This window comes from Homo sapiens, chromosome 9 (genome assembly GCF_000001405.40).
Source record: "Homo sapiens chromosome 9, GRCh38.p14 Primary Assembly".
NCBI lineage: Eukaryota > Metazoa > Chordata > Mammalia > Primates > Hominidae > Homo > Homo sapiens.
The window spans coordinates 134,435,176-134,462,553 of record NC_000009.12 but is presented as its reverse complement, the minus strand read 5'-3'; the positions used below and the strand labels follow the sequence as shown (position 1 = coordinate 134,462,553).

The 27,378-nt window shown below is 58.1% G+C and overlaps 1 protein-coding gene and 1 long non-coding RNA gene across 4 annotated transcripts in view, besides 8 other annotated features; both read right to left on the bottom strand.

Moving 5' to 3' along the window:
* The window catches only part of LOC105376311 (uncharacterized), a 38,028-nt gene extending 20,677 nt beyond the window's left edge, over positions 1-17,351 (bottom strand). The window contains exon 1 of the long non-coding RNA XR_007061841.1: positions 16,995-17,351. This is a non-coding gene — a long non-coding RNA (uncharacterized LOC105376311). The remainder of the gene's footprint in view (positions 1-16,994) is intronic.
* Positions 136-636: an enhancer, noted in NCBI's record as "H3K4me1 hESC enhancer chr9:137353764-137354264 (GRCh37/hg19 assembly coordinates)". NCBI's record gives its function as "activates a minimal SCP1, AML or CMV promoter by ChIP-STARR-seq in primed H9 embryonic stem cells {active_cell/tissue: H9 hESC(primed)}" and the evidence as "EXISTENCE:reporter gene assay evidence [ECO:0000049][PMID:30033119]".
* Positions 5,152-6,088: an enhancer, noted in NCBI's record as "H3K27ac-H3K4me1 hESC enhancer chr9:137348312-137349248 (GRCh37/hg19 assembly coordinates)". NCBI's record gives its function as "activates a minimal SCP1, AML or CMV promoter by ChIP-STARR-seq in primed H9 embryonic stem cells {active_cell/tissue: H9 hESC(primed)}" and the evidence as "EXISTENCE:reporter gene assay evidence [ECO:0000049][PMID:30033119]".
* Positions 6,089-7,026: an enhancer, noted in NCBI's record as "H3K27ac-H3K4me1 hESC enhancer chr9:137347374-137348311 (GRCh37/hg19 assembly coordinates)". NCBI's record gives its function as "activates a minimal SCP1, AML or CMV promoter by ChIP-STARR-seq in primed H9 embryonic stem cells {active_cell/tissue: H9 hESC(primed)}" and the evidence as "EXISTENCE:reporter gene assay evidence [ECO:0000049][PMID:30033119]".
* Positions 7,370-8,205: an enhancer, noted in NCBI's record as "H3K4me1 hESC enhancer chr9:137346195-137347030 (GRCh37/hg19 assembly coordinates)". NCBI's record gives its function as "activates a minimal SCP1, AML or CMV promoter by ChIP-STARR-seq in naive H9 embryonic stem cells {active_cell/tissue: H9 hESC(naive)}" and the evidence as "EXISTENCE:reporter gene assay evidence [ECO:0000049][PMID:30033119]".
* Positions 12,617-12,911: a silencer, noted in NCBI's record as "tiled region #11314; HepG2 Repressive DNase matched - State 12:CtcfO". NCBI's record gives its function as "represses a minimal TATA promoter and a strong SV40 promoter by Sharpr-MPRA in HepG2 cells {active_cell/tissue: HepG2}" and the evidence as "EXISTENCE:reporter gene assay evidence [ECO:0000049][PMID:27701403]".
* Positions 15,086-15,493: a silencer, noted in NCBI's record as "fragment chr9:137338907-137339314 (GRCh37/hg19 assembly coordinates)". NCBI's record gives its function as "represses an EF-1alpha promoter that drives an FKBP-Casp9 reporter gene in an ReSE screen in HepG2 liver carcinoma cells {active_cell/tissue: HepG2}" and the evidence as "EXISTENCE:reporter gene assay evidence [ECO:0000049][PMID:32094911]".
* Positions 18,638-19,216: an enhancer, noted in NCBI's record as "H3K4me1 hESC enhancer chr9:137335184-137335762 (GRCh37/hg19 assembly coordinates)". NCBI's record gives its function as "activates a minimal SCP1, AML or CMV promoter by ChIP-STARR-seq in naive H9 embryonic stem cells {active_cell/tissue: H9 hESC(naive)}" and the evidence as "EXISTENCE:reporter gene assay evidence [ECO:0000049][PMID:30033119]".
* RXRA (retinoid X receptor alpha) overlaps positions 21,969-27,378 on the bottom strand; it is a 114,131-nt gene continuing 108,721 nt past the window's right edge. For all 3 annotated transcript variants that reach the window (NM_002957.6, NM_001291920.2, NM_001291921.2), the window contains one exon: positions 21,969-26,087. In NM_002957.6, coding sequence (NP_002948.1) covers positions 25,940-26,087 — 148 coding nt within the window. In that variant the 3' untranslated portion in view covers positions 21,969-25,939. The remainder of the gene's footprint in view (positions 26,088-27,378) is intronic.
* Positions 25,024-25,592: an enhancer, noted in NCBI's record as "H3K4me1 hESC enhancer chr9:137328808-137329376 (GRCh37/hg19 assembly coordinates)". NCBI's record gives its function as "activates a minimal SCP1, AML or CMV promoter by ChIP-STARR-seq in naive H9 embryonic stem cells {active_cell/tissue: H9 hESC(naive)}" and the evidence as "EXISTENCE:reporter gene assay evidence [ECO:0000049][PMID:30033119]".

Here is a 27,378-nt window from a genome sequence, read left to right as displayed (position 1 = left end):
TGATAATGGGTCCACCTCCCGGATTTTCCTGTCACAGCCACTGACCACGGCCTGCAGTTGGGAGGTGTGTGCCCTCCCCCACCTCTGTCCTCTCTCTCGGTCCTCTCCAGCTCCTCCCACAGCCAGCATGGCCGGCACACCTCTCCCATGGTGGGGGTCAGGGCACTGATAGGCCACACAGCCGGCTGTTGGTGTGGTTATGACAGCCCCCATTGCCACAGCTTCAGCCCCGCCCAGCTGCTGTGCTTCAACCTCCAGGAGAAAGTTCCATCAATACTCTCATTTTACAGATGAGGAAACCAAGGGCGGGGAGCTTTGTGATGAGTGCGAGGCCACACAGTGGGAATTAGAACGCATGTCCTTCTCACTGTACACTCCGCCCAAGCTACAAAATGGCCCACGCAGGCCCTTCAGAGTTCAATGAGCTCCGTAACCCTGAGTTGAAGGCAAGCTGGGAGGCCTGGGGGCTCAGTTCAACTCAAGCACTGACCAAACTCCTCCTGCAAATCAGCCCCAGGGGTCCCGTTGAGAGGAGCCAGGCATGTGAGAAAATGGGCCATAGGGCAGTGCTGCAAGAGCCATCTCGGAGAAGGGCCACATTGGGACCTGGCTGGGCCACAGCTGGCAATCTGAGGGGTCAGGTGACCACAAGAACACTGTGGACATAACAATGCATGACTCTCAAGTCTGGCTCCTTAATGGCGTGGCAGCTTCTGCCTTGGCCTGCTGGATCACTTGCACTGGGGGAAGCCAGCCTCCATGTTGAGAGGATGCTCAAGCAGCACTGTGGAGGCAAGCAGCGTGCCAGCCTCGTGGTGTGCCACCTTGGAAGTGGCTCCTCCAGCCCTGGCCGACATTCAGATGACGCAGCTCTGGCCAACATCTGGCCGCAGCCTCTTGGGAAACCCCAAGGCAGAACCACCCATTGACTAAGCCATTTCCAAAGTCCTGATCCACAGAAACTGTGAGTGATGATGAATGATTACTGCTATTTTAAGCCACTAAGTTGTGGGGTGGTTTGTTACATAGTAACAGAGAACTAAGAGGCAGACCCTGCACAGCCCTTCTTGGCCTAAAGAAAGAAGGTGGAAGATTTTCACCAGGATGCAAACCTCGGGCATGTGTGGCACCTTTCACTCATGTGTCTTTTCCCATTCAGCCCCCCATGGGCACATGGCTGGAGCCCCCTCCCAATGTGGGGCTCTTGGAGTAAGAGTGGGGTCTTGCTGTCCTCTCAGGAACTCCGAGGACCCTGTGACAGGATGATGTACACAAAGGATGAAGTAGCAGGTCCACAGCCCTCTAGAGAGGCTCAGAGCAGCCAGGTCAGGAGACAGCACCAGCAGAGGGAGGGGGAGAAGGCCCCCAACCATGGAGCCACAGGCCTTCCTTTACCGCCCTGCCCAGCCCACAGCACCCCGCCTCCCCACAGGCAGAGGGATAGGCAATGAAGTGTGGGCAGACTGTCTCATAAAAGTCACCTACCTGCTGACAGCCACACCCATCCAGGACTAGGCTGAACAGCCCTCTAACGAGCAGGACAGGGCTTCTCTGAGCTCAGGGAGCTGCTCTGTCCAGCTAAGGAGCTCCAGAGCCTGTGGTCCCGTCTCCTGCAACCACCCGTCATGCCCTGGTCACCTATTGTCTCAGCTTCTCCAGGGAGGGCCTGAGGCAGTTGTTTGTTTGGCAAAAGTGCTTGACACCTTCCAGAAGGGGGCAGAGACCCCAACACAGCTCCCCACATAGGTGACTCCTGCTGGGTGAAGGCTTCCAACAGGCCCCAGGGCGCCCTTCACAATTCCTCTTCAGAGAACCAAAGCCCCACTGAGGTCCCATAGAATTTTAGAATGTAAAAGGGGCATGCCCCTTGGACCCAGCAACGTCGCTTCTGAACTCCATCCAGGAGAGCACCTGCCGAATGCTGGACAGGAGTGTTCATGACAGCACCAGCTGGTGACAGCCCCACAGGGAAAACAAGCAAAATGCCCAGCAAAGTGGCGTCCAGCAGGGCCCAGGAGCACCATTAGAAAGAAAAGCAGCTCCATGCACAGCCTCCAGGAAGGAGGGCCCGATGCTTGCACGTGAAGGAGAGCCATCGGCAGAAGCGCATACTGGAGTGTTGGAAACCGAGTGTATCGTGGGAGGGGTAGGTGCTGGAACATTCCAGAAGAATGAGCCCCAACAGCAGAAAGGCCAGCTGAGCGAGGGCATCATCAACTTTAACCGAGCCCTCCTCCGGAAGTTTCCTTCTCATGCACACGCTTCTCAGTGCAGATACCAAGAACAGAGCTCATCCTGGCTGATAATCAGGGCGCTGGGTTTGAGTCTGGACTCTGCCCCAACCTGCTGCATGACCCTCAGCTGACATCTTCCCTTTTCTGGGCCTCAGTGTCCCATCTGTCACCCAGAAAGTCTCCTGGAGACAGGACCCCAGAGGATTCAGTGAGCATCACGCTCCATCCTAGGGAGTGGGTGGTGGAGTCCCTTCCGAGGAACTCATGCCTGCATGGAGGGCACACGGGAGGGGCAGAGAGGCATGTGGCATCGGGCCTCCCCATCCCCAAGGGCCGCAGTTAGGCCACAGCTTCAGACTCAGGCTCGATTTTGGTCACAGGGGCCTAGAGGTCAAGCATCCTCCAGCATCTGGGAAATGTCCTCCGTGGGTAACGGGAGAGGTGCACAGGGGCTGACCCCGAATGACCACCAGGGCCAGTGAAGTGCTGTGAGAGCCCCGCTAGGCCCACGGTGCACACAGGGCAGAGCCTTGAGGGGCGAGGCCTCCAGCGATGAGGGCCACAGAGCCAGCAGGAGGGAGGCCCAGCCAGGACAGGCCCAAGAGATAAGATTTGTGTTCCCTGAAAGCCTAGAGGACATGGCAGTCAGGTGTGGACGACAGGCAGGATCCACAGAGGTAGGAGCTCAGACTGGCAGGGCTGGCTCAGACGGGCTTCCTGGAGGAGGGGTTGGGGTTGGGATGGTCACGAAGCCGCCCCTGTGAGTCCCCAGGTCCCTTTCGTAAAGCTCTCTTGGAGAAAATTCACCTTGGGCCCTTCCTAGCTGCACCCATACCCAGCCTCATGACTCATGACCCATGAGGTTGTCCTATCTGCCATTCTCCCTGACCTCACCCTGCCCCCGCCACATGCTGCAGGGAGAAGAGGGAAGGGAGGTCCCCAGCTTGGCCGCAGACTTCTGCTTTCCCAGTTGACACTGACCCACGTTTGACCACGGCAGATCCTGCCCCACAGCCCAGGCCCACCTCCAGTGCACAGCCTTGAGCTCCAGAGCCGCCATCCTGGTCTCCCATAGGGAGGGATGAGGCCTTCGAGGGGTTCAGGGCAGGCTTCTGACTGACCTGTTTATGGCCAGTGTCGCCCAGCGAAGAACTAGCTGGGGGTCACACAGGCCAGGTGGGTGCCTCCCCCACCAGCTGTTGGGTCAGAGACCAGGGCAACCCCTGAGCAAGTTTTCAGGGTGGCTTCTCCTAAATTCAGCAGCACCTGCAAATTCCCAAAAGATGTGCCAATTTCGCCTGGATTTCTGCAGGCTCCGGGAGGATGATGCGCGCCACTCCCTCCATATCCCGCCCCACCTTTCCCTTAAAGAGTTAACAGAGACCTGGAGCCCAGCGTCCCATCACAGCCCAGTCCTTGCCATTCAGCGTCTAGCCTCACCCAGAGCCCTCACCCTGGCAGAAGGCAAAACTCAGGCTCAGAGGACAGGCACTTGCAGGCTGGGACTGGGTCCAGAGTCTGGCTGTCCGGTCCCTGCCTGGAGCTCTCGGCCCATCCAGGCCAGTGGAAAGTCCAGCAAAGAAGTGAAGCAGCCCCCACCAAACCCTCAGCAGGCAGTGGGAGGGGACAGAGAGCTCCCCGGTAAGCAGAGAGCCAGCAGCTACTTTCCATGGAAAAAATGTCTTAAGGTCCCCCCAGAGGCCAGGAGGCCCCAGCCATGACTCAAGTCTCTGCTGCTGAAGAATCGCTCCCGACCAGACAGCCCCTCGGCCCAGGCAGGCTCCACCCCACCCCCAGCTCCCATCACACCAAGGCCCCATTCCAGGCAGGGCCCCAGTGTCAAACCCCAGGGCCCCACCGCAGGCTCCGTGGCCCTCTGCATCTCACCCTGGCCATGGCGGGAGCCATGGGGCCTCGACAAGCACAGGCCCTGCTGCTCAGGCCCGTCTGCAGAGGCCTCAGCGGCCCACCTGCAGAGTGGGAAGGGGGTCTGTGGGGGGGTTCCCCGTGGGCCTTAAAAGTCCACCAGAGGCTTGACCAAGGTGAGCCCAGAGGGAGGGTGCAGGCCTTGGCCCCTGGTAGACTGAGTGCCAGAGGGCAGGGCCTGGGTCTCAGGGCACAGCACCAGTCAGCTGTCAATAAACACCGGTGGATGCGACTCCGAGGCCTCCGGCAGACACGCTCGTCCACACCATGGAACTGGGCTTCCCCTTCAGGCTTCATTTCAAGGCGTTTCTGAGACTACACCTGGAGATGACAGGACACTACACCACAGTCCAGAGACCCTGTCTGTGACGGCCTCAAGGCAGAAGTACTTGCCACGTGGCAGGCAAACCCTTCCTGCCCTGGGGGTCCCCTTGCACTAAAAAGCCTCAGGGGTCTGGGGCAGGTCTGGGAGAGGCTGTGTCCTTCGCCCAGAGGCCTGGGCTCCATCAGGGTGCAGCACTGTCCCTGGGAAGCCCTTGGACTCTTGGGCAGAGAAGCAGCAGAGAGAACCACCCCAGCTCCTGAGATTTCAGGGCAGGCAGGACCCAGCTCAGGATGACCCCAGGGCAGGAGGGACAGAGATAGTGACCAGAAGCTGGGGACACTGTGAGAGACACAGACCCCGGCCCCACCCCACAGGACACAGAGGGACACAGACCCCGGCCCCACCCCACAGGACACAGGGGGACACAGACACTGGCCCCACCCCACAGGACACAGAGGGACACAGACCCCAGCTCCACCCGACAGGACACAGGGGGACACAGACCCCAGCCCCACCACACAGGACACAGGGGGACACAGACCCCGGCCCCACCCCACAGGACCCAGAGGGACACAGACCCCGGCCCACCCCACAGGACACAGATGGACACAGACCCCGGCCCCACCACACAGGACACAGATGGACACAGACCCCGGCTCCACCCGACAGGACACAGGGGGACACAGACACTGGCCCCACCACACAGGACACAGAGGGACACAGACCCCAGCTCCACCAGACAGGACACAGGGGGACACAGACCCCGGCCCCACCACACAGGACACAGAGGGACACAGACCCCAGCCCCAGCTGACAGGACACAGGGGGACACAGACCACGGCCCCACCCCACAGGACATAGAGGGACACAGACCCCAGCTCCACCCAACAGGACACAGAGGTACTCAGACCCCAGCCATACCCTACAGGACACAGGGGGACACAGACCCGGGGTCCACCCCACGGGACATAGAGGGACACAGACCCTCGGCCCACCCCACAGGATGCTGGGACGATGGAGACACCCAGCCGCATGCTACAGGACACTGTGGAAACCGCTGATCCTGGGGCCATTGGAAAGCAGGGAGCCCTGAGGGCCTGGCCATGGCCCCCCTGCCAGCCCGGACCCCCATAGCTCTGCCTTGGAGTGGAAGCTTAGCTCTAGGCAAGGCCGGGCCATTTCTGTCCAGGAGCCTGTGGGGTCAGATGGGGTAGATGCAGGCTGAGCAGGGGAAGGCACAGCTGGAGCTCGGAGGGCGATTGGGGACAACCCAGCATGTCCAAAGTTAGGGACCCCCTCTCCCAGCTACAGCTTCCCTCCTTCTGGGAGAGACCCCTGTTGGTGGGCTGTCGGGCTGGAGCATGGCCGGCAGCTGGCCCGAGCCATGTTTCGTGGGGTGTGTGTCACCACGCAGTCCGCGAGCTTCATAGTTTCCCACTGACGTCACCGCATGGCTAGAATGTGAAGTGACTGCAAACCCTCAGAGGCATAATTGCAGTTGTCTTTGCAAAGTGAAATCAGATGGCTTTTGCAAACCTCCCCCAGCCCTGCCTTCTCCCCGCGGCTCTCCCTTTTTTTTTTATTATGTTCCTTGGGCCACATCCAGATGTTTCCTGCAACTACAACCCTCCAAAAGTTACACAAAGAGAGCGAGAGCGTGCAGCTTCCTGCCTGCAGGGTGGAAGTGGCGACGTGGCAGGGTGGGGGCGGCCACGTCTACAGGGTGGGCGGGGGCGACCACGTCAGCAGCTGGGGCAGCAGGCTCCAGGCAGGTCCCAGCCCCCTGCCTCCTTGTGCCTGGGGTCTGGGCGCTGAGAGACAAGGCCGGAGGGCCACGGTGCATGAGGGACAGCCCCTTCCGGCCGCTGCGGCCCTGGCCCAGCAGTGGGCCGAGTGGAGACCGCGGCCGGGAAGGAGCAGGGCACCTCGGTCAAGATCAGCCTTTGGGTTCGGGCTGCTCCGGGCGCCACTCCCAGCTGCGCTACTTACACGTGTGGCCTGGGAGCCACGTCTCCACCGGAACCTCTGTTTCCACGGCGATAGGGGTGGTTGCTGGGAGCTTTAATTAAAACCAGTCTCTGTCCACTGCTGGCAGCAGGGAGCGCCTCACCTGGACCCAGGCACCTAGGACAGGTGTGGTCTCGGAAGACACAGCAGAGCCCGACACGGAGGGGCTTACAGGGGAAGGGCCTTGAAGGAGGCCCAGGGTTTCCTGAGGCACAGGCAGGGAAGGGGGGCCGAGGCGAGGAAGCGGCTTTATCAGAGGCCTGGCAGCTGGGCACAAACGCCGTGGGGGCCCAAGGCGTCCCTGAGAGAGACGCACGTGAGGGTCTCTGGAGAAGGAGGTCCGCCATTTCCAGGGAAAGGGGACACCTGTAGGTTTCCCCTGCGGCATCCCTCTGTCCTGTCTGCCTCCCTCGCCCAGAGGATTCCCAACTGTAGGGGGCAGGCAGGGCTGGCTCACGCCTGACCTCAGTCCACAGCCTGTCCCTCTCTGACCTAGGCCATCCCTGGGTGTAGGCACAGTCCCTGGTGGGCAGAGCTGGGAACGTGGACAGGTGGAGACAGGTGTCAAGGCCAGGCAAAGGCTCAGCAAAATGTCTAGAGGGGGTAAAATGGCCCCCGAACCTTCCAAGGGCTGTTTCAGAAATAGGACTTGAAAGTTCGTAGTCAACCCAGGCTGACACCTCCTCATCACCTGCCTTCAGAACCCATCCATGGAAATGCTGACACTGCAGTTCAGGGTCCCCAAACCACCCTCAGGCTCAGGGACGTGCTGGACTGGCTCACAGAACTCAGCCAGGCAGCGATACCCGAGGTCAGGGTTTAGCGCCGTGAAAGGACATAGCCTCGAACCAGCAAACTGGGCATCTCTAGAGGGCAGGGTTTAGGGGAGACCAGACTCCAGCACCCAGGGGTCTTCTCTCAGTAGAGTCGGGCAGACGATGCTCAATTCTCCCAGAATGGTGTGCACCAGCCAGGGGGGCCCAGCCACGCCTCGGGGCTCAGGGTTCCTACTGGGGGTCCATCGCAAAGACATGCCTCACTGCCCGTGTGCTTGGCCTTGGTCTCATCCCCAGGATGATGAGCCGATACAGCACAGCCCAAGGTCCCACTGTAAATGACATCATTAGCGCGGTCACTAGGGTGGCCCAAGACCCCCAAGCAAACACAGACACTTATCACGCAGTATATTTCAAGTGGCTAGAGGTCAGAGGTCACCTCCCAGGAGCTAGGCCAGAGCCAGACCTTTCTTTGGAATGTGCAGGGTGTGGACAACTCAGGCCTGCTGAGTTAACCCTTTCCTGCACAGTGACCAGAACCCACCAGCACCCCACTGGGAGGTGATCAGCTTGAATGAGTCCCGACTGAGGCAGGAGAGGGGAGGAGGCGGAGAAAACCACAGACAAAATTACAGTCCAGTGGGAGCCAGGGCAGCTGGCGTCACCTCCATTTTACAGATGATGTGGGATGGAGGCAGGAAGAGGGGTTATGACGTGCCCAGGTCACAGAGCCAGCCTGGGATGGTGCCAGAACCCCACCCTGATCTCATGCAGCTTGCTCCTGTCACCCCTGGCCCCGCCTCTTCAGCAGTGGAGGAGACAAATGGGGCCTGGCCCATGCCTTGACGGGGGCCCTAGAACTGGGGGCCTGGTGGTGGCTGCCTCCTGGGAAGTATCGGCGTCTCTCTTGAACTAAGGTGGAGCTTGGGTTTTGAGAGCAAGCGCTCTTTGCAGTGGCCACGTGCTGGGCCCTGCTCAAACCTCTTCGGACTCCCAGAAAGAATGAGGTCGGGCCCTTTCCACCCTGAAATGTGCAGCAAGCATCTGAGAAAGGGGAGGGCAGTGCTAAACCCTCAGGACGGAGCCCAGCGGCTGTGATCCCGGGCAGCAGGGAGGCAGTGTTAGGGGAGGGGGAGGCCTCCTTGCTGCCCCCACCAAATCACACGGACCATAGGGTGTGGATTCCAGAACAACTCCCTCTTTCCACAAAAGGGAAAGCCGAGACCTCGAGTGAGCAGAAAGGATGAGCCTGTGGTCACACGGAGCTTGTCCCAGGCCGGCCGCTCCCATGCTGCTGCTCCCATGCCGCCGCTCCCAGGCTGCCCATCCAGCTAAGGATGTCCCTGACACGGGTTCCTTTGGATTCTTCATAGAAACATTTTGGAAGATTCATGTCTAAGGGTTTTAATGAAAATGGCAGCTTTCCAGGCTGGTCTTGGATAGCAATCGTGAGCAGCCCCGCCGGCCAGTGCTCACCTGGGGCCCCAACCACTCGGGAGGGGGAGGGGGCATGTTGAGTCAGCAGCAAGAGAGATTGCAGTTAGACCTAAGAAAGTCCACCCAAGTGAGAGCCAGATGGCCATGCCTGGTTATAGACAAGTTTCAGGAGCCCCTCCACAGCCCCCCACCCCAGCACTTCCTCCTATAACATGCAGGTACAGGGCCTGGAAGTTCACAGGCACACGCACAGTAGCCTAAAAGCCTCAGTGATCTCGGGAAGTCCTCATAAACAGTGGTTGGACCAGGTGATACCGTCCAATGGTCTGGCCAGCATAGCTCAACGTTTATGGACTCTTCGGCACGCAGGCACCATTCTGCCCTCCCAGGCCGATAACCAGAAAGGCATGCCATGATTCTTCCAATTAGCTTAATTGGGAAATTGGTTCCATGTGGTCTCAAGGGCCACCATCTATGGGAGAAGGCAGGTCAGCGGGACAGCGAGTCTCCCAGCACCAACCCACAGAGCCCCCACCCAGAGGGAGCTTACGGGCTCAGAGCAAGGAGCCTTATTCCACACCTCCTTTTCTCCTTGTACTTCCAACCCCACCATCTGGGGTGGAGCTCTAGCTCATGGTAGATGCTCTGAAAACCGTGGCTGTAAGCAGCTGGACCTCCAGGCCCCAGTGTTCGTCACTATAAGATGGGGAAACGTCAACACTGGCCCAGGGGGCAGGAATAAGATGATTTGAACCATGGGTCTATAAGGAGCACCTGGTGGGGAGGTCATTAAAGGCCCTTGGTTTCTTCAAGCTGACCTGGACCTTCATGAGCCCTACTTGGGGCACCAGGGAATTGGGAGATTTTCTTTTCCCTATTTCGCACCTGAAGAACTCCTGTTCATCCGTCAGTGCCCTGCTCCAGTGCTGCCTCCTCTGGGAAGCCATTCAGCCTCCTCTACCCATGGTTGCCTCTCCTCCATATTCCCATCGCACCTTGATTATGGCCTCCTCATGGCACAGATCAGCCCACATTTGCTGCCCACATGCAACACCATGAGAATATTCTAGACCTGCACTGTCCAATGCACAAGCCACTTGCCACATGTGGTTTCGAGAGCCTGAAATGTGACCTGTACAAATTGAGATGTGCTATAAGGCTAAGATAAACACCAAATCTCAAAGACTTGCCACCAAAATATGAATGTAAAATATCTCAATAATTGTTATATTGATTGCATGTGGAAATTATAATATTGTTTATGTATCGGGTTAAATAAAATATTACACTTATTTCACCTGGTTTTAGTGTGGCTACTAGGAAATTTTAAATTAATTACATATATGGCTCACATTGGATTTCTGTTGAACAGACTCTGCAAACTCTGCTCTCTCCTGGAGCCAAGTACAGGACCTAATCCATGCAATTTCCAGTCTGTATTTGCTGAATGAATAGGTGGATGGATGAATTCTGGGTGGGTGGGTGGATGAGTGGATGGATGGGAGGGTGGATGGATGGATGAATAGATGGGTGGGTTGGCTGGGTGGATAGATAGGTGACTGGGTGAATGGATAAGTAGACAGATGGGTGACTGGGTGGGTGGGTGGATGGATGGATGAATGGATGGATGGATGACTGGGTGAGTGAATGGGTGGTTGGGTGGATGGATGGGTGTGTGGATGGATGGATGGATGGATGGATGGATGACTGGGTGAGTGAATGGGTGGATGGGTGGATGAGGGTATGTGGATGGATGGATGGATGGATGGATGGATGGATGGATGGATGGATTGGTGGGTGGGTAGGTGGATGTGGATGGATGGATGGATGGATGGATGGATGGATGGATGGATTGGTAAGCGGATGGATGGATGCATGGATGGATGGATGGATGGATGGATGGATGGATGGATGGATGGATTGGTGGGTGGGTAGATGGATGGATGGGTGAATGGATGGGTGGATGGGTGAATAGATGGGTAGATGGATGGATGGATGAATAGATGGATGGATGGATAAATTGGTAAGCGGGTAGATGGATGGATGGATGGATGAATGGATTGGTGGGTGGGTAGGTAGATGGGTAGGTGGATGGATGGATGGGTGGGTGGGTGAATAGATGGGTAGGGAGATGAGGTGGTGTATGCACAGGGCTAAACACCATGAGCCTTGCCTTGGAGCCTCTGATTCACCATGGTACACCTGTGCACTTGTGAAATGCAGACAACTTGTGAAATTTACAAAACCACAGTTCCCACCTCTTGGAACTACACCCAATTTATTCATGTGATCAGCCCCAGTGGGTGCCTGCCTTGGAGTCTCAGGGGACCTGGTTAAGAAGATGGGAAGCTCTAGCCAGCAAGGAGTGAAGAGGTTTGCAAACACACTCTTGACCAAGCCTAAAGACTAAATCCAGACCGTGCTCAGGCTGGATTGGGCCTGAGGGAGGGGAAGACTGGGAAGACTGGGAGCTGGCCTTCTTCTCAGGGAGGAGTCTATAAGGCAGAGGAAGGGATGGAGGGAGAGAGGGAAGGGAAGGAGGGAGCAAAGACACAGGCCAGGCAAGCCTCCTGAGCAGGAGGAAACGTTTGTGAAAGGTGAAAGAGGCATTCGAAGGGGGATTGAGAAGAAGCACTGGAATTGCTGGATGTCTGGGCGATACATCCAGCAATTCCAGCACATGTCTGCCTGGGCAACATGGAGAACCCTCAGCCCCAATGGTCCCCGCCTCATCACCAGCCTCTCTCCCCATGTGTCTCTGTGTTACTCTTTGCACACCTCAGTTCTCTCCTGCCTCTGAGCCTTCGTATATGCTGTTCCCCCAGCCTGGGATGCCTTTCCCTGTATTGCTGTGTAGTTGTGCTATAGACAGAATATCTGTGTCTCAACAAAAGTCATGCATTGAAATCCTAACCTCCAAGATGATGATGTTGGGAGATGGGACCTCTGGGAGGCTCTGCCCTCATGAGTGGGATGAGCACCCTTATAAAAGAAGTCTCTGAGAACTGCCTTGCTCACTTCTGCCATGTGAGGATGCAGACAGAAGCAGCCAGCTCTGAACCAGCAATGGGCCCTTGCCAGATACCAAATCCGCAGGTGCCTTGATCTTGGACTTCCAGCCTCCAGGACCATGAGCAATAAGCTGCTGTCTGTGAGCCACCCAGCCCAAGTGGACTAGGACAGGTCGGCTTCCCGTGGAGGCCCCACCTGCCATGCTGTCCAAATCAGCAACCCCACCACCACCTCCCACACTCACTGCCTTCCCCATGACTTGATTCCTCACATGCTTATCTGGGACCAAGGGCTCCAGCTCCAGATGCAGGCATCCACCAGCCTCAAGGCCAGGCACCACAAGCAGGCCCCAGGCATGCCACTTTCTCCCCTCTGTCTTCCTTTGACCTCAGAAGGCACCCTCCTGAGGCTTCCTGCAGTCTCTGGGGACAACTTAGTTGTGTCCCAGTGGGGTTCAACTCATTAGAATTCATAGTCGCTTTGTAGTTGACAAGGTCTGCTCCAGAAGGACCACCACAAATCTCCCCTGGGACTAATCAGGGCAGATGTCCCAGGCACCACACTTCCATGCTTCTGAACCACAGTGTTCTGCATCCCCTCCCTCCCCTCAGCAGCAAGCAGGGGAAGGGCACTCTCCCCAGCCCATGAGATGGGCAGCAGGCAAGGAGGGGTGCAGGGGCTCTGCCTGGGGAATCGCAGAAGCATCACACAGTTCTCTGCCTTCACTCCTGGCCCTGAAAGCCCCTTCTCTGTATTTTGCTCTTCATTTCCAGAGCAGGATGTGGGAAACACAAGCACTGGAGGAAAAGGAGGACCCTTCAGCTAAGACGGAATCAGGGATGTTCATATGCGGGTCCGTCCCTGCTTCTACAGCCCGCCACGGTCCATTCTGGGGCAGCATCTTGGCCCCTAAGCATGGGGACAGAGAGCAAAAAGGCAGCATCTGCAAATCAAACTAAGCAGCATGTTCCAGGGCTGGGCAAATGGGAGAGGGAGGAGCCGGGAGGTGGTTGCCAGGGAAACATCAGAGCTTAGCCAGTCAGCAGGGGCCACCAGTTTGGTTGCCGGGTGCACTCTGCAGGATGACACTGCCCTCAGGTGGTGGATAGGGATGCTGACAGCCACGGCACCAGGGACCGCTATGTCCTGAGCCGATGGAGGCACCTTAGGATGTTTTCCCCTCGCTCTGTGTATACTAAAGATACCCAAGTAGGGCTGACCCTGCATACAGCTCCCATGGCCTCTCTGGGGGAGCAAGCTGAGGATATTCCGTTGTGATGAGGTTTCACAAGCATCCTGACCTCTGGGGAAGTTGCTTTTGCCACAGTTCCCATCAAGTGTTGCCCTGCATGCCAAGGAAACAGAGCCCCTTGCAGGGAAGACAAAGGGTCCATGAGATGCCTCCTTCCTTGAACATGACAAAATTCAGTGCTGTCATCCACATAATTCAGCGGCAAAGATAGGTTTTACTGAATTTCTTCAGTAAGGTATTTTCGTTTTCTAAACCCTAAAACTTGGAATAATTAGAGGTTGCCACCCAGTGGGGACTCAGAAAATTGCAACCCAGCTTTATCAGCTGTTGTAACTCTCCAAACAAAACCAAGGTCTCTGCCTATGTGTCGGGGGTGGGGTGGGGCAGGGTGGGTGTTCAGGGACTGGTGGAGTTTCTAGAGCCCCAAGAGGGGTGACATGTCCAACAGAAAGAAACCACCAAATTCCAAATTCAGGAGGACAGTGGAACAAAGTCTGCTGGCCTTGGACCTTTAAGCTGTCTGCCTTCCCACACCCTCGCTTTCCAACTCACCCAATGAAGAACACAGCTGCACAGTGACAGTCCCATCAAGCCTGTGTCTGCTGCACCCAGACAAAGCCTCAGAGTCCTTCTCATCACAGTGCTGTCAGCAGCCCCTGCTACCAACTAGAATGGTCAAATGGCTGTATGGCCCCCTCAATCCATGTTCCATTTGCTCCTAGTTCACTTGGGGTTTTTTGGCAAATTGTTTGCTTTTCTCTAAAGTATATTGTTTGTAACTCAAGTAGCTTGTTTGTTGCACCCAAAGTTCACTAGGTTTGTACTTACTGGAAAATTCCTGGGTCCTGCCCTTTTGACGTGTCCCCACCCAGGGCCCCCTGCCACCACATGCCCTCCAGTGACACTGACACCTTGGCCCTCTATTCCCTGGACAGTCTGCAGTTGGCTGGCCCCAGGCACCTGCAGTCCAGGTGACCCCACCTTCCACTCTCACTACCAGCCCTGTGACATTCTGCCCCACAGCTGGGTTAGACTCCCTGAGCACATGCACCTCCGGTTCTCCCAGGCCCTTCACTGCAGCTGGGTCCTCAGTAGACCCACACACTTGTCATGGCTTCTGTGCAAGCCACCCACGTCCCTGGGCACCCAGAGAAAGGACCTTAGTAGAAAAGGCCAATGAGGCTGCAAAGCCCGGCACCTGGAAGGTCTCTCGCTCTCAGTCTCGCCCAGCTGCCCCTCACTGAGTGTTGGAGTGATGCCAGAGGGGAGCCACTGCAGGTCTTGGCTCAGGCAGCACCACAAGCAAGGTGCTAGGATTAGCCCCATTCCACAGGGGCAGAAACTGAGGCTCTGGGTGAGCGAGCAGGGAGCTGACGTGAGTGACTCCAGAGCCCACACTTATATCTCGCAGGGGCAGAGCAGAAGAGACCGAGGACTGGATTCCAGGCCAGCACCACCAGCAGGGCCCTTGGCTCCTGGCCACTACCTGAGATACAGAGGGTCTGCAGAGCCCATGTCCTCCTGCTCCCCTCCCCCACCCCATCCAACCTCCAACAAAGGAAAAATCTTCCCCAAACCCTGCCTGTCTGTTAGGAAAGCTCCCCTACTTCAGTCCCCTGGCCCTGGGGCCACTAACCCAGGTCTTACTGACCAAGAACTTGGGGGATTTTTATGCAACAGCAAGAGTCTGAACCAGAGAGGGGTGAGATACTCCCCGGGTGTCAAGCTGAGGCCCTGGTCCAACCACAACTCCTGGCGTGTTCACTGGCACTGGGCCTGGAAGCCAGGCCATGGCTTCTCCAGGTGGGCAGTGTCTGGGAGCTGGGACCCCACTTCTGCTTCCCCCTACCCCAATGCACACAGGCTGCTCCCAAACAGGCTGAGCCTGGGGGACCTTTCAGACTGAAATGCAAGAGCTGAACTGTGGAGGCAGACTTGCCACAAGCAGCCCTGTGATGGTCTCATGCCCATCCCACAGACAGTGGGCACACCAAACAGGGGAAACCGAGTCACAGGCATGTGCAACAGTGATCACCAGCTCAGCAGGTCCAGGGCCAGGACTCCAGAGAAACCCCTGCCCACCGCCACCCCACTCAGCCTGGAGGAAGCCCCACAGCTGGGCCCAAGCACCCTGGTGCCCCACCAGCCGCATCCTCCTCCCTCTGGGTGATAGGGCACTGAGTCTCCGCACCTGACTCGCTCAGGGTGCTGCTCCAGATTCTACGTGTTCCTCCTGCTCCCAGGTGAGAGCAGCACTCCTGACCACTGCTGGTCATGCACCAGCCTCAGCTTCCCCAGCTGTGACAGCTACCAGGGAACAGGCCTGCGGTGGCAAATGTGCCGTGTGTGCTGGAGGGTGGACATGCTGCTTCCGACAGCTGCACCCCAGTGAGTGCCGGGCGAGAGGAGCCCAGCGAGAAGCTTCCCAAAAGCGCCTCCCTCCTTCCAGGACGGGCAGCAGGAGAGCAGGGAAGTGCTACAGGCCCACCTGGCTTCCCTTTGAAGCCCTTAAGGAAAGCCCCTCTCTGATCACTCTGTGGGAACAAGGCCACCGCTGACCAGCAAAGACAATCTTCCTGAGAGTCCTGACACTGTTGTGTAGGTTGTGAGACCCGTCTCTCTCCAGCCCTGCTTCCTTTGTGAACCTGGGCTTGTCACCCCTGCCCCTCCTCCTTCACGGAGCTGCTGGGAGGACAACATGAAGCCCCTGGAGATGAAGGACGTTGCTACGCCGGTAAGGGCCAGGCAGATGTGAGAAGGGCGTGAGGGCCGCGTTCAGCAGCCGTGCAGTGGTGCAAAGAAGATGCTGCTGGGCAGGTGGGTGTTGGGCCTGCTCAGGTGGAATCCAGCAGCCCCCCAGCCCCCCAGGAAGAACCTGGGCTACGGTTCTTCCACAGTTACCTGCCGTGAGCGAGCACTGTGGGAAGCAGCGTCCCCCTCCACACCTGGGCCAGGATCCTCAAGTGACTCGCACCCCAACCTTAGAAGTGTAGGAGGGGGTGAGGGGGAAGGAGTTGGGGGGGCAGTCAGCCTCAAAAGTCACTTCACTGGGCCGGGCGTGGTGGCTCACGCCTGTAATCCCAGCACTTTGGGAGGCCAAGTCTGGCAGATCATTTGAAGTCAGGAGTTCAAGACCAGCCTAACCAACATGGTGAAATCCTGTCTATATTAACAATACAAAAAAAAAAAAAAAAAAAGCTGGGCATGGTGGCATGTGCCTGTAATCCCAGCTACTCAGGAGACTGAGGCAGGAGAATCACTTGAACCCTGGAAGTGGAGGTTACGGTAAGCCAAGATCGTGCCACTGCACTCCAGCCTGGGTGGCAGAGCAAAACTCTGTTTAAAAAAAAAAAAAAAAGTCACCCCATTGGCCTCCTCCCATCACCAACCCCGTTCCCCCATTCTGTGTGTCTCCACTAGCACATCTGACTGTGGGGATTAGCAAAGGCGTGGAATCGCTCTGGAAAAGCTAGGTCCTTATTTCTAACTGCTGGAATGTCTCACGATAGGTCTTCAGTAAGCAGGTTGGTTTCCATAAGGACTTAGGCAACAGTCTGTGACTTTTTTATTTTTGAGACAGTGTCTTGCTCTGTTGCCCAGGCTGGAGTGCATCAGGGCGACCATAGCTCACTGCTGCCTTGACCTCCCAGGCTCAAGTGATCTTCCTGTCTCAGCCTTGAGTAGCTGGGACTACAGGCATGTACCACTGTGCCCAGCTAATTTTTGTGGGGGTTTTTGGTGGAGACGGGGTTTCTCCGTGGAGATGGGGTTTCTCCACATTGCCCAGGCTGATCTCAAACTCCTGGGCTCAAGCAATCTGCCCACCTCGGCTTCTCAAAGTGCAGGGATTACAGGGACCTCAGCCAACTTTTTCATATATATAAATGCTGCTTTCAGTTTTTAAAATTAGCTTTTTAAATTTTAGAATAGCTTTTAGATGTACCGAACAGTTGCAAAGATACTACAGTTCCCATATGCCCCACGCCTAGCTCTGCTCACACTAACATCTCACGTTAGTCTAGCACCTTTGTTGCAATCATGAGCCAGCACTGATACACCTTTATCTATGTCGCAACAGGACATTCAGTCATCGTGTCTCCTGAGGCTCCTTTTGGCTGTCACAGTTTCTCAGACTTTCCTTGTCTTTGATGACCTTGACTGTCCTAAGGGCTGATCAGGTGCTGTTTCAGTCCGTTCTCACTCCGCTACAAAGAACAGTCTGAGACTGGGTAATTTATAAAGAAAAGAGGTTTAACTGGCTCACGGTTCTGCAGGCTGTCCAGGAGGCATGGCTGGGGAGGCCTCAGGAAACTTAGAATCGTGGTGGAAGACGAATGGAAAGCAGGCACGTCCTACATGGCAGCAGGAGAGAGAGAGAGAGTGAACAGCCAGATCTCGTGAGAACTCACTCACTATTACGAGAACAGCAAGGGGCAAGTCACTCCCATGATCCAGTCCCCTCCCATCAGGCCCCTCCTCCAACATGGAAGATCATAATTCAACATGAGTTTTGGGTGGGGACACAGAGCCAAACCCTGGCCCCTCCCAAATCTCATGTCCTTCTCACATTTTTGTTTGTTTGTGGTTTTTGTTTTTGTTTTGTTTTGTTTTGTTTTTTGAGATGGAGTCTCACTCTGTCTCCCAGGCTAGAGTGCAGTGGCAAGATCTTGGCTCACTGCAACCTCTGCTTCCCAGGTTCAAGAGATTCTCGTGCCTCAGCCTCCTGAGTAGCTAGAATTACAGGCACCTGCCACCAGAGGGAAGGAGGGAGGAAGGAGGGAGGGAGGGGGAAGGAGAGAGAGGGGAGGGAAGGAGAAAAGAAGGAGGGAGGTAGGAAAGAAGGAAGGAGAAGGGGGAAGGAAGGAGGGAGGGGAAGGAGGGAGCAAGTAGGTAGGGAGGAGGGAAGGAAGGAGGTAGGGAGGAAAAGAAAGAGAAGAGGGAAGGAAGGAGGGAGGGGGAAGGAGGGAGGGGGAAAGGGCGGAGGGGGGAAGGAGGGAGGGGGAAAGGGTGGAGGGGGAAAGGAGGGAGGGAGGGGGATGGAAGGAGGGGGAAGGAGGGAGGGACGGGGGAAGGAGGGAAGGAGGGGGAAGGAAGGAGAGAGGAAGAGGGAAAGAGGGAGGCAGGGGAAGGAAGGAGGGGGGAAGGAAGGAGAAAGGAGGGAAGGAGGAGGGGAAGGAGGAGGGAGGGGGAAGGAAGGAGGGAGGGGGGAGAGGGAAGGAAGGAGGGAGGGGGAAAGCAGGAGGGAAGGGGAAGGAGGGAGGGAGGGGGGAAGGAGTGAGAAAGAAGGAAGACCACTGAGCCTCCTCTCTGTGCTTCCCAAATGCCCCCACTGACCCACACAGGGGTCTCTGCCCTGCCCTTGGACCTCAAAGGCTCCGTTGCTCACCTTGGAGGGCACCATGGTACCTGACCTTCCCCATCCCCCATAATGGGCAAAAGCCATGATGCCACCTCCTGGATCCCAGGCCCTGGAACCTGGGCCTACAGTCCTGTGCTTGTCCAGAGGTGGACCCCGGGTCAAATCTCCAAGGATTCCTGCTCACCACCCTTTGCTCAGGGAGCAAAGTCGGCCTGGCCTCCTCCACCCATGCCCTGCATTAGAGCCTCTTCACACCAAAAGAAAGGAGGAAGTGGCTGCTTCCTCCTAAAGCATTTTCTGGGTGACCAAGGCCCTGGTCACAACAGCCCTGGAAAGTGGGGAGTTTGTCCTCACTTTGGAGGTGGGGAGATGGGGAAACTGAGGCTCAGAGAGGGCAGGACCCGCCCCCCTCCCTCCTTGGCGCTCTGTCCTCACCTTCCCTGACCCTGCTCCTGCTGCAGGCCAAGCCCACCTGGCACCCAGTAGGGCTGTGTGCCCAGCTTCCCGAACAGCTGACTGCTGAGGCATCTTGGTGAAACTGGGATGAAGCCGGCTCCTGACTGGACCGCTTGCTGCAGTGAGCAGGGGTATGGCTGGGTGGCGGAGCGCCCAGGTGATTCTGACTCACAGTAATCAACCCCACTGCCGGAAGCCACTGTGGCACCCACAGGCCTGGAGGAGCAAGAAGGGACTGGAGGACCCGCGCTGTCCCAGCGTCGCCAGCAGGGGGCAGGGCTGCTTCACGCCGCAGCAGGCGCCGGGGCATCTGTCCTTGGGGACACTCGGGTTCCTAATCAGCTCCATAACCGAGGTGGTGGGATGGGACCTGGTCCTGCCTTGGCCTCCCTTTGGGCAAACTCCTTCCTCGCAGGGCCTCTGCGAAGTGTGGGGACACAGCTCTGCAGGGGCTGCGGGCTCCCTCCGGGCATCTTTACAGAGGGGGCTCGCTGCAGAAAGGCAGGTAGAAAATGCCAGACTCAATGGCCTGCCCGCCCCGATGCTGTCTGAGTCCCTGCCAGGGGGCGGCTGTGCCCATCTGAGAATCCAGGGGACTGGGCTGAAGGCTCTATGTGGCCCTTCCCGATGTCTCCACGCCCCAGCCCCTTCCTCCTGAGGCCCCTGAGACTTCCCTGGCCTCCTCTGGTCACCCAGGTGCAGCTGTCCTTGGGCACAGCGATGACCCCTCCTCCGCCCTGAGTGTGCACTGCCTGCACAAAGTGCAGGGGCTGCCCCGTTCTCTCAGGATGTGCTCTCAGGATGCGCCCCATTCCCCACGTGCGCCCTTCCTCCCATCATGCTGTCTGCTGGCTGATGGCAGGGACGGAAGCACAGGGAGCTCAGCGGTGCCCATCCAGGAGCCATGTGTCCCTGCCCCCACCGCAGGTGCCTGAGCCCCTGCCCCCTCCCTTGCCTCTCAGTTCACAAACCTCCAGCCCACACTGGCTTGCTGTCGTTGCCTGAGAGTGACGGTGAAGAACTTATCAAGCCCAGCATCTCTGGTCCAGAGGGACTGCCCTGGGCAGGAGTCACCGTGGCAACCAAATGCCGAAGGGAGGCCCAAAGCTGGGTTGTCCTGCGATGCCGCGCCAGCCAGCAGCCTGGAGTTTCTGCCTGGCTGGTGGGAGCACGGGGTGGTGTTCGTGTCCCTGGAGGGGCACCAAACTCCCCCCACGCTCACCCCAGGAAGTCCCATAGTAACACCCTGCCCCATTATTAAAACAAGCACCAAGGCCCTGGGAACTTACGGGAAGCTTCCCCTTCCTGGGCTTCTCCCAGAGCCCCGAGGGGTCCGTGTCCTGCAACCACAGACCTCAGCTTTCCCCTTTTGTCCCTGCGCTCTGGCCTGAGAACTCCGAGGGCTCACTCTCACCCCAAGGACGGGTGTCCGTGGAGGCTGTGCCCAGAGTCCAGGGGGCCACCAGGGCACAGAGCCAGCTTCCAACCGCTGGTGTCTCACACAGCAGCACTCAGCCATGTGCGCAGATGTGCAGCAGGATGGGAGGCCTCTCAGCAGGGAGGCCACATCCCAGCTCCCGAAGCCCCAGGGCCGACCCCTTTTCCAGACCACGGAAGGGGCCCACGTGCTTCATGTGTGCAAGATTATATGCAGAGAACATGGGTGGGCCAGACTCAGCAAGCCAGGTCGGCAGAGGGCTGTGCCGACACAGAGGAAGCGGGTGGCCACTTCAAGGACTCCGCCCTCCCTCGGGGTCCATTCACACTTGGACCCCTCTGGAGAAGCCCAGGTTGGTCTCAGTGGGCAGAGCCGAGGCCCTGGCAGGGGAGGGTGTGAAGCCCAGGGAGGATCCTTTGGATGTGCAGCTGGGACCCAGGGGGGCTCCTAAGATGGCAAAGTGAGTCGAGACTCCTGTGGCACCCACCATTCAGCCATGGTTGGGGGCCCAGGGAGTGGCCCAGAGTTTCAGAGCACAGCCGCACAGCCGCCGTTCCCAGGAAGAGGGAGAATGTTGGTGTGGGGTCCTGACTCCACCAAGGGAGGCTGGCTCAGCCCCGCACCCAAGACCCCCACTGTTCTGTCGATCCTTCCAGGGCTGAGTGCAAGTGTGTATGTTCATGAGTGTGTGTGTGCACGGGAGCATGTATGGGTGTGTGTGCATGGGAGTGTGTATGGGTGTGTGTGCATGGGAATATGGATGTATGTGCATATGAAAGCGTGTATGGGTGTGTGCACGGGAGCGTGTATGGGTGTGTGCAACTGAGCCTGTATGGGTGTGTGTGCATGGGAGCATGCATGGGTGTGTGCAAGGGCAGCGATGGGTGTGTGCACGGGAGCAGTTCTGCATGGGTGTGCATGCCAAAGCATCTGTGTGAGCACGTGGTGTGTGCATGCGTATGAATGGGTGCGAGGGTCCATGTGAGCGTGTCCGTGCCCGTGTTTGAGTATGCACGTGTGTGAATGTGTGTGTGCTCATGAGGGGAGTGCCATCAGGAAGTCCCTGCCTTTCAGGTGGCAGGCCGTTCCATTTTAAGTCTCACCCGGGAGCCACCCTAGCTCTGGGCACAGGCCACACTGTCCTCTGCCCACCACCACAGGGCAGGACCTGGACCTTCAGAGCCCCACTCCCCATCTTCAGTGTGTCTGGTGCCTCTCGGGGAGGGTGCCTGGCTGGACACAGGTGCATGAGAGGGCTCCGGGCACGAAGACCAAACCAGGCCGGGAGCAGCCCAGCCCCAGACAGCATGGAGACAGAGGGCGTTTATCACAGGAGACAATGCAGATGGGGCATCATTAACTTGTTGTTATTGGGGCAGCTGGGTGACATCGTGTGTTCCTTGGCCCTCTGGGTGCACCTCCTGCCCATCTGGGCCAGCGTGGCTGCAGAGGCGTGGATGCTTAGGCAGCCTGGGGAGGGACAGGTGGGAACACTCGTGCTCCGCAGGCGCCCACAGGCCCAGTGCCCACGGCTGCTGAGAGGTGCCCTCACGGAGGCCCCAGCCCCCTGCCCCTTGGAGGAGCAGCAGAGCCCAGTGGACAGGGAGAGAACTCTCAAGAGTATGGCCCACAGAGGATGCCAGCCTCGCCGCACAGGACCGGCAGGTAGGGTGGACAGGAGGGTGGGCTGGTGGGGGCTGATCGCGGGCCCTCCCGCTCCAAACAAAAAAGTCCCCACACGGAACAAACGAACTGAATGGCGATGTATTTTAAACGCTCATATTTTGTTTCTCCTCTCACACTTCTCCCTTTGCGTGTTCCTTTTCCACAATTCTAATGCTACTGTCCATCAAACCCTGGCACCTGAGGCCACGATGTTTCAGAGACAATCGTACGGAGAAGCCACTTCACAGTCAGTCACAGGAAGGCCAGAGCCGGCAACAGGACACAACAGAGCAAGGCTTTAAAAATTACTCGAAAGGGAAGAAAACCCTTGAAAGCCTCAGGCCCACCCTCCTGCCCCGAGGGAAGACACCCCCATTGCGGCGGTTTCCTCCCAAGCCTCGCCGCCGTCACAGGAGCCCTCTCCTCTGCCATCGTCTGTCCTGGCGTTTCTCGGACGAAGCTTTCACCTCAATCTCTAGAAGCAGAAACGAAACAGTCCCAGCCCTCCCCCCGCCATATCCAAGTATACATGAGGGATAAAATTACATTTGTACAAAAATAGATTTTTTTTTTTTACCTTTCCAGATGCTTTAGACATTTTCTCTTATCTTTACTCTCTTTATGGATCTGTCATCCTCTCTAAAGTATTAGCTATGCGTCCCAGCTAAGGCATTGCTAAGGATTGGGAACGGCTAAAGCTGTCTGCTCCAAAGCATCTTAAAATAGATGCATCTCCTGCCTTGAGATATTCATTCGAACCCGGATTTCACCAAAGGAGGGTCCTTATGTACTTGCTTACACGAAGCAAATTTATAGGAAAACAGGGGAAACGTCTTGATTAAAAATAAACACAAAACACTGGTAACCGCTCCGCCTTTCCTGGGTGGCGCTGGTGTGCGGCTCTCTCCACACGCGTCTCTCTGTACAGCACATACATGTTTACACCACACACCTGCGTGGACGAGCACCAGATCACGCACCCCAGCTCCACGACAGGGACACCAGCCGACTACCCACAGGCTGCACATTCCGGCAGGGCCCTCCTGGGTGCCCCACGGGGAGGGGCTCGGGGTCATCTCCAGCACTGCCACCAGGCCGCCAGCCCAGAATTCTTGGGAAACACCGTGCTCGGAAAACCGAAGGTCAGGGCTGTCCTTCCCAGAGGCCGTGTGCTTCCAGGGTGCGGAGGGCCGGCGGCTGACACAGGCCCCAGGGTGGAAGGTCCTGGCAGGCCAGCTTCCAAGCATGCCCGACGCAGCCTAGGGGAGCCCGGCTCTGTGGCATCTTCACTCCTGAGCCTCAGGAGCCCCATCTGAACGGCAAAGCCGGGAGGTGACCAGCTGAGGAGCGTGCCTGAAGGTGCCGGGGTGCCCTGGGTCCCCAGGAAGCAGCCACTGGGAAGTGGGGGCCCTGCGGGGAAGCCGCTTCATCCAGCCGGGCCAAGGCGGGGACAGGCACAGGTGGCTAATGAGCTGATGTTAGTGCTATCTTTAGAAAATTAAAGATTGTCCCACCAAAATAATAATAATTACAAAAAATCACCTTAATTGAACTGGATTGGTAATACTACTACAGGTCTGGTTAAATAGAAATTCTACCTCTCTACTCAGTGATGAGCCGCACTCCCCACACATCACCTTTTCAAACCAACAGCACTGTACAACTACAAGGCCGATGAGAAAGGGACGGGAAGGCTGCGGGAAGTGCCCGGGACACGTAGAGCGGTGGGTAAGGCTGCTGTGGCCAGGGAGGCCAGGTTCTGCTTTCAGGGGTTGGCGGCCGGGGGGCTTCAGTGCTTTACAGCCAGCCAGCCAGCCAGCCAGCGCCGGAAACGACAAAGTTCCCAAGAAGCAGCCGACCCCCCGCAACGGAGGCCCCGTCCCTGGGCTTTTTCCTCTGGAGCCGCGGGCATTCCCAAGGGTCCGGGCACGGATGGGTGGGCGCTGGCTGCAGAAGGCACCAGGTGTTGGCGTTGGGTCTTTTGCACTCCCACCGCTGGGGCCCCAAGAGTACCTGCACCCTCCTGCCATTTCCACCACACCCGCCAGGGGCAGCTGGGGCTTCCTGGCAGTGCCTGGGAGGGGCCCAGCTGGCCGGGGACCTGGTACAGGTATGAGGCTCAACACTCTGCCTCAGGACGGTGGATCGGGCAGGGGGCCACCTCTAGGGATCCACAACGCTGAAAGGCAGGGGTGGAGGGCGGCGGGGAGGAGAGGCTTCTGGAATCTCTGACAGCCTGTCTCGGGCACAGACTCAGCTGCAGGCTCCACTCGGGTGCCTAAGCTCAGCTCTGGCTGGGAGCTCCAGGAAGGCAAAGAATGGACACTTTCTTCCCCACCAAGGCTGGAAAGCTGCCTCTCCAAGCCACTGCCTCCCGGTCCAACCTGTAGGCAGCTCCCCTCACCACTGAGGAAGCCCCTGCTCCAGGTGGGGAAAGACTATGGAGAAGGCGTCCACCCCCCCGCATCATTCCTAGACTGCGGCTGGGAAGACAAGACCCCCTCCGGTATCCCCCCCATCCACCCTCTGTTCAGGCACCTGCCACTGACAAAGGCTGGGTCCACGGGACTGAGGCGTGAACGGGAAAAGTACTCAGGCCAAAGGGAGGGCCTTCCAGTGCAAAAGAGGCGAGTTCAACCTGAGAGGGCCCCGCACCACCGGAGCCCGGGGGCAGAGCCTGCGGGAGGAGCGCCAGGCCGCACTGGGCTGAGCCAGGGAGGCCCCAAGCCCCGCCCCCACCCCACCTTCAACCAGAGCAGGCGTTCAGTGAGGCTCCCAAGTAAGGCTCTGGGTGAACAACGCTGTCCGTGGACAATACCAGGCTGGGTGGTCCCACCAGGGCCTGCGTGTGGCCCAGGCCCGAGGGCGCTGCGACTCCGGGTTCTCAGATTCCAAGAGTCTTTTAGACACAACTGGCAGCCAGAGAGAAGGCCTGAGCAGGGGTCCCACCAATGCCCCGGCAGAGCCACTCCAGGCCGCGGAGCATCTGCCCCACCCACGAGGCTCCCAGTTCCTGAGCCCCTCTCTCTCCAGGCCACCTGCCCCCTCTGAGGGAAACCAACAGGCCACCCTCCTCCCCTCCCATCCCCGCGGGCCTCACAGATGGCTGCAGGTCCGCAGAGCCCTGTGCCTCCAGCAAGGCCAGTGAGGTGGTGATGCCCCACCCTGCCCGAGCCAGGGCCAGCCCTGCAGGAAACAAGGACAAGCCTCAGCCCACCCCGCAGAGCAAGGAGAAGACTCAGGCTGGGGAGGGGCCGGGGCACTCTGGTCTGAACGGGGAGTCGGGAGTCTGAAACCAGAACACCAAGGCAGAGAGAAAACAGGGGGGTGAGTGACCCGCCCCTGCAGCCTGGAGGTGGCCCCGAAACCTTGCACAGAGGGCAGCTCATGTTCTCATTGGCTCGAGGGCAAAACTGTGAGTTATCTTTGGAAAAAGGGGCTACCTTCCCCCTCACTCAGAGCACAGGGCAGCTTGCTTGCCCCACGAGTCCCCTCTCATCCCCGAGGCGGCTGAGGTCTTTGCTGATGACACACCAGCTTGCGCCCCCAGCTGTCCCCTCCTGATTAGGGGGAAGCTGTCACGGGCTGGCTGGGCACCAGTATTCAGAGCAGATGAAGATGTCACTCCAGACAGGAGGGCCACACAGGAATTCTGAAAACCAGCATCGATAAACAGCAACGGAAACAAAAGCCCCGTTCCCAACTCCTGCAGCTCCAGGGCTGGGGCCCGAAGACCCTGTAGTCGCCCAAGCCCCGTGGGGTGTGGCAGGGTGTCCTGAGAGCCCGGTGGGGAGGCGCCTGGCTGGGCTCACGCTAGTTCTTGCCACGAAGGCTGCTGCCTCAGGAAAGCCACTGCCCTGGGCCACAGACAAGTAGTAACAGAAATAAGGAGGGTGACAACACATCTCTTAGGCAGAGCAGTGACAGGCTGTGCCCCAAAGTCCAAACAGGCCAGGCAGAGAAGGGCAGGGACAGGGCTCAGGCTGAGAAGAACAGCTGGCGTCCAGGCAGGGTGGCCAGAACGGGTGGGCACAAAGGATGGGCCCGCAGGCCTAAGTCATTTGGTGCGGCGCCTCCAGCATCTCCATAAGGAAGGTGTCAATGGGTGTGTCCCCGATGAGCTTGAAGAAGAAGAGATGTTCCAGGCATTTGAGCCCGATGGAGCGCAGAGCCGGCAGGCGGAGCAAGAGCTTAGCGAACCTGCAGGGAACAGGTCTGGTGAGGGCCGGGCAAGGGGCATGGGCAGTTCTGCCCTGGCACTGGAGGCCTCCCTGGGGATGGGGCTGTGTCTGATACCCCAACCCCTCTGAGGCTGGTCTGTAGCCCTGAATCTGCCTATGCCAAGCCTCCAGAAGGAAGGAGGGGAGGCTAGAAGGAAACAGAGGCAGTGGCAACCCAGAGCCAGGACAGAGTGAAGGGAGATCCCTGGGTCTGAGGACGGAGATGAAGGGCCAGGGGCCAGACAGCAGCTGGCTAGGGCAGACTGAATAGCTCTTTGTGAAGAAGTTAAAAATTGCAGGCAGTTGGGCATGATGGCTCACACTTGTAATCTCAGCACTTTGAGAGGCCGAGGTGGGAGGATGGCTTGAGGCCAGGAGTTCGAGACCAGCCTGGGCAACGCAGTGAGACCCTGTCTCTACAAAAGAAAAAGAGAAAAACAGTAGCAAGGCGTGGTGGTGCATGCCTGCAGGGAGGACCGCTTGAGCCCAGGAGGTTGAGGCTGCAATGAGCTACGATCGCAGCACTGCACTCCAGCCTGGGCGACACAGCCAGACTGTCTCTCAAAAAATGAAAAACTGTGGGCCATGACAGCCGGGAGCGGGTGTGAGTATCAGTAATGCATCTGGCTGCAGCAGCCATCACAGCAAGAGACTGCGGGGCTTGTAAGGGAAAGGGCTGCTGAGCACACTGGTGAGTCGCAGGGAACAGGCCCGGCACATGGTGGGCAACCAAGAAGTCAAAGAGCATCAGGCGGGGGAGGGGGAGTCAGGCTGCACCCCCACTGCAGGTGGAGCCAGGCCTGACTTGGGAGCTGTGTAACGGTGCAAGACCCTTTCCATAAAGCATCAGCACCCCATGAGTGCCTCCCACGGCACCTTGTGCAGGGCTGTGGGCCCCAGACCAGGGCCACCCCTTCCTCAGAAATAGCTCTGCTGGCATTGGGCACAGCATGGTCAGAGAAGGCTGGCCGGGGAGGGAGGGAGCACGGGTTGGTCCTCAGGGCCTGGCCCATCCCTGGGGAGTTTCCTGGGGCAGGGACCAGTGGGGGGGCGGGAGGGAGGGGGGAAGTCTGGGGCTCTGGGAAGAGGGATAGCAGGGCCAGGCATGAGGGCAGCAGCTGCCGCTGAGGACAGGGTGCTATGGGGACGGAACCAGGTGTCCCTTCCGGCTGGCCGTGTCTGCCCAGGGCCCCTGTGCACGGCCTGAGTCTCTCCACACGGCCCCTCCAGGGGCTGCAGGACCTCATTAATTATTAACGAAGTCTTTCTTT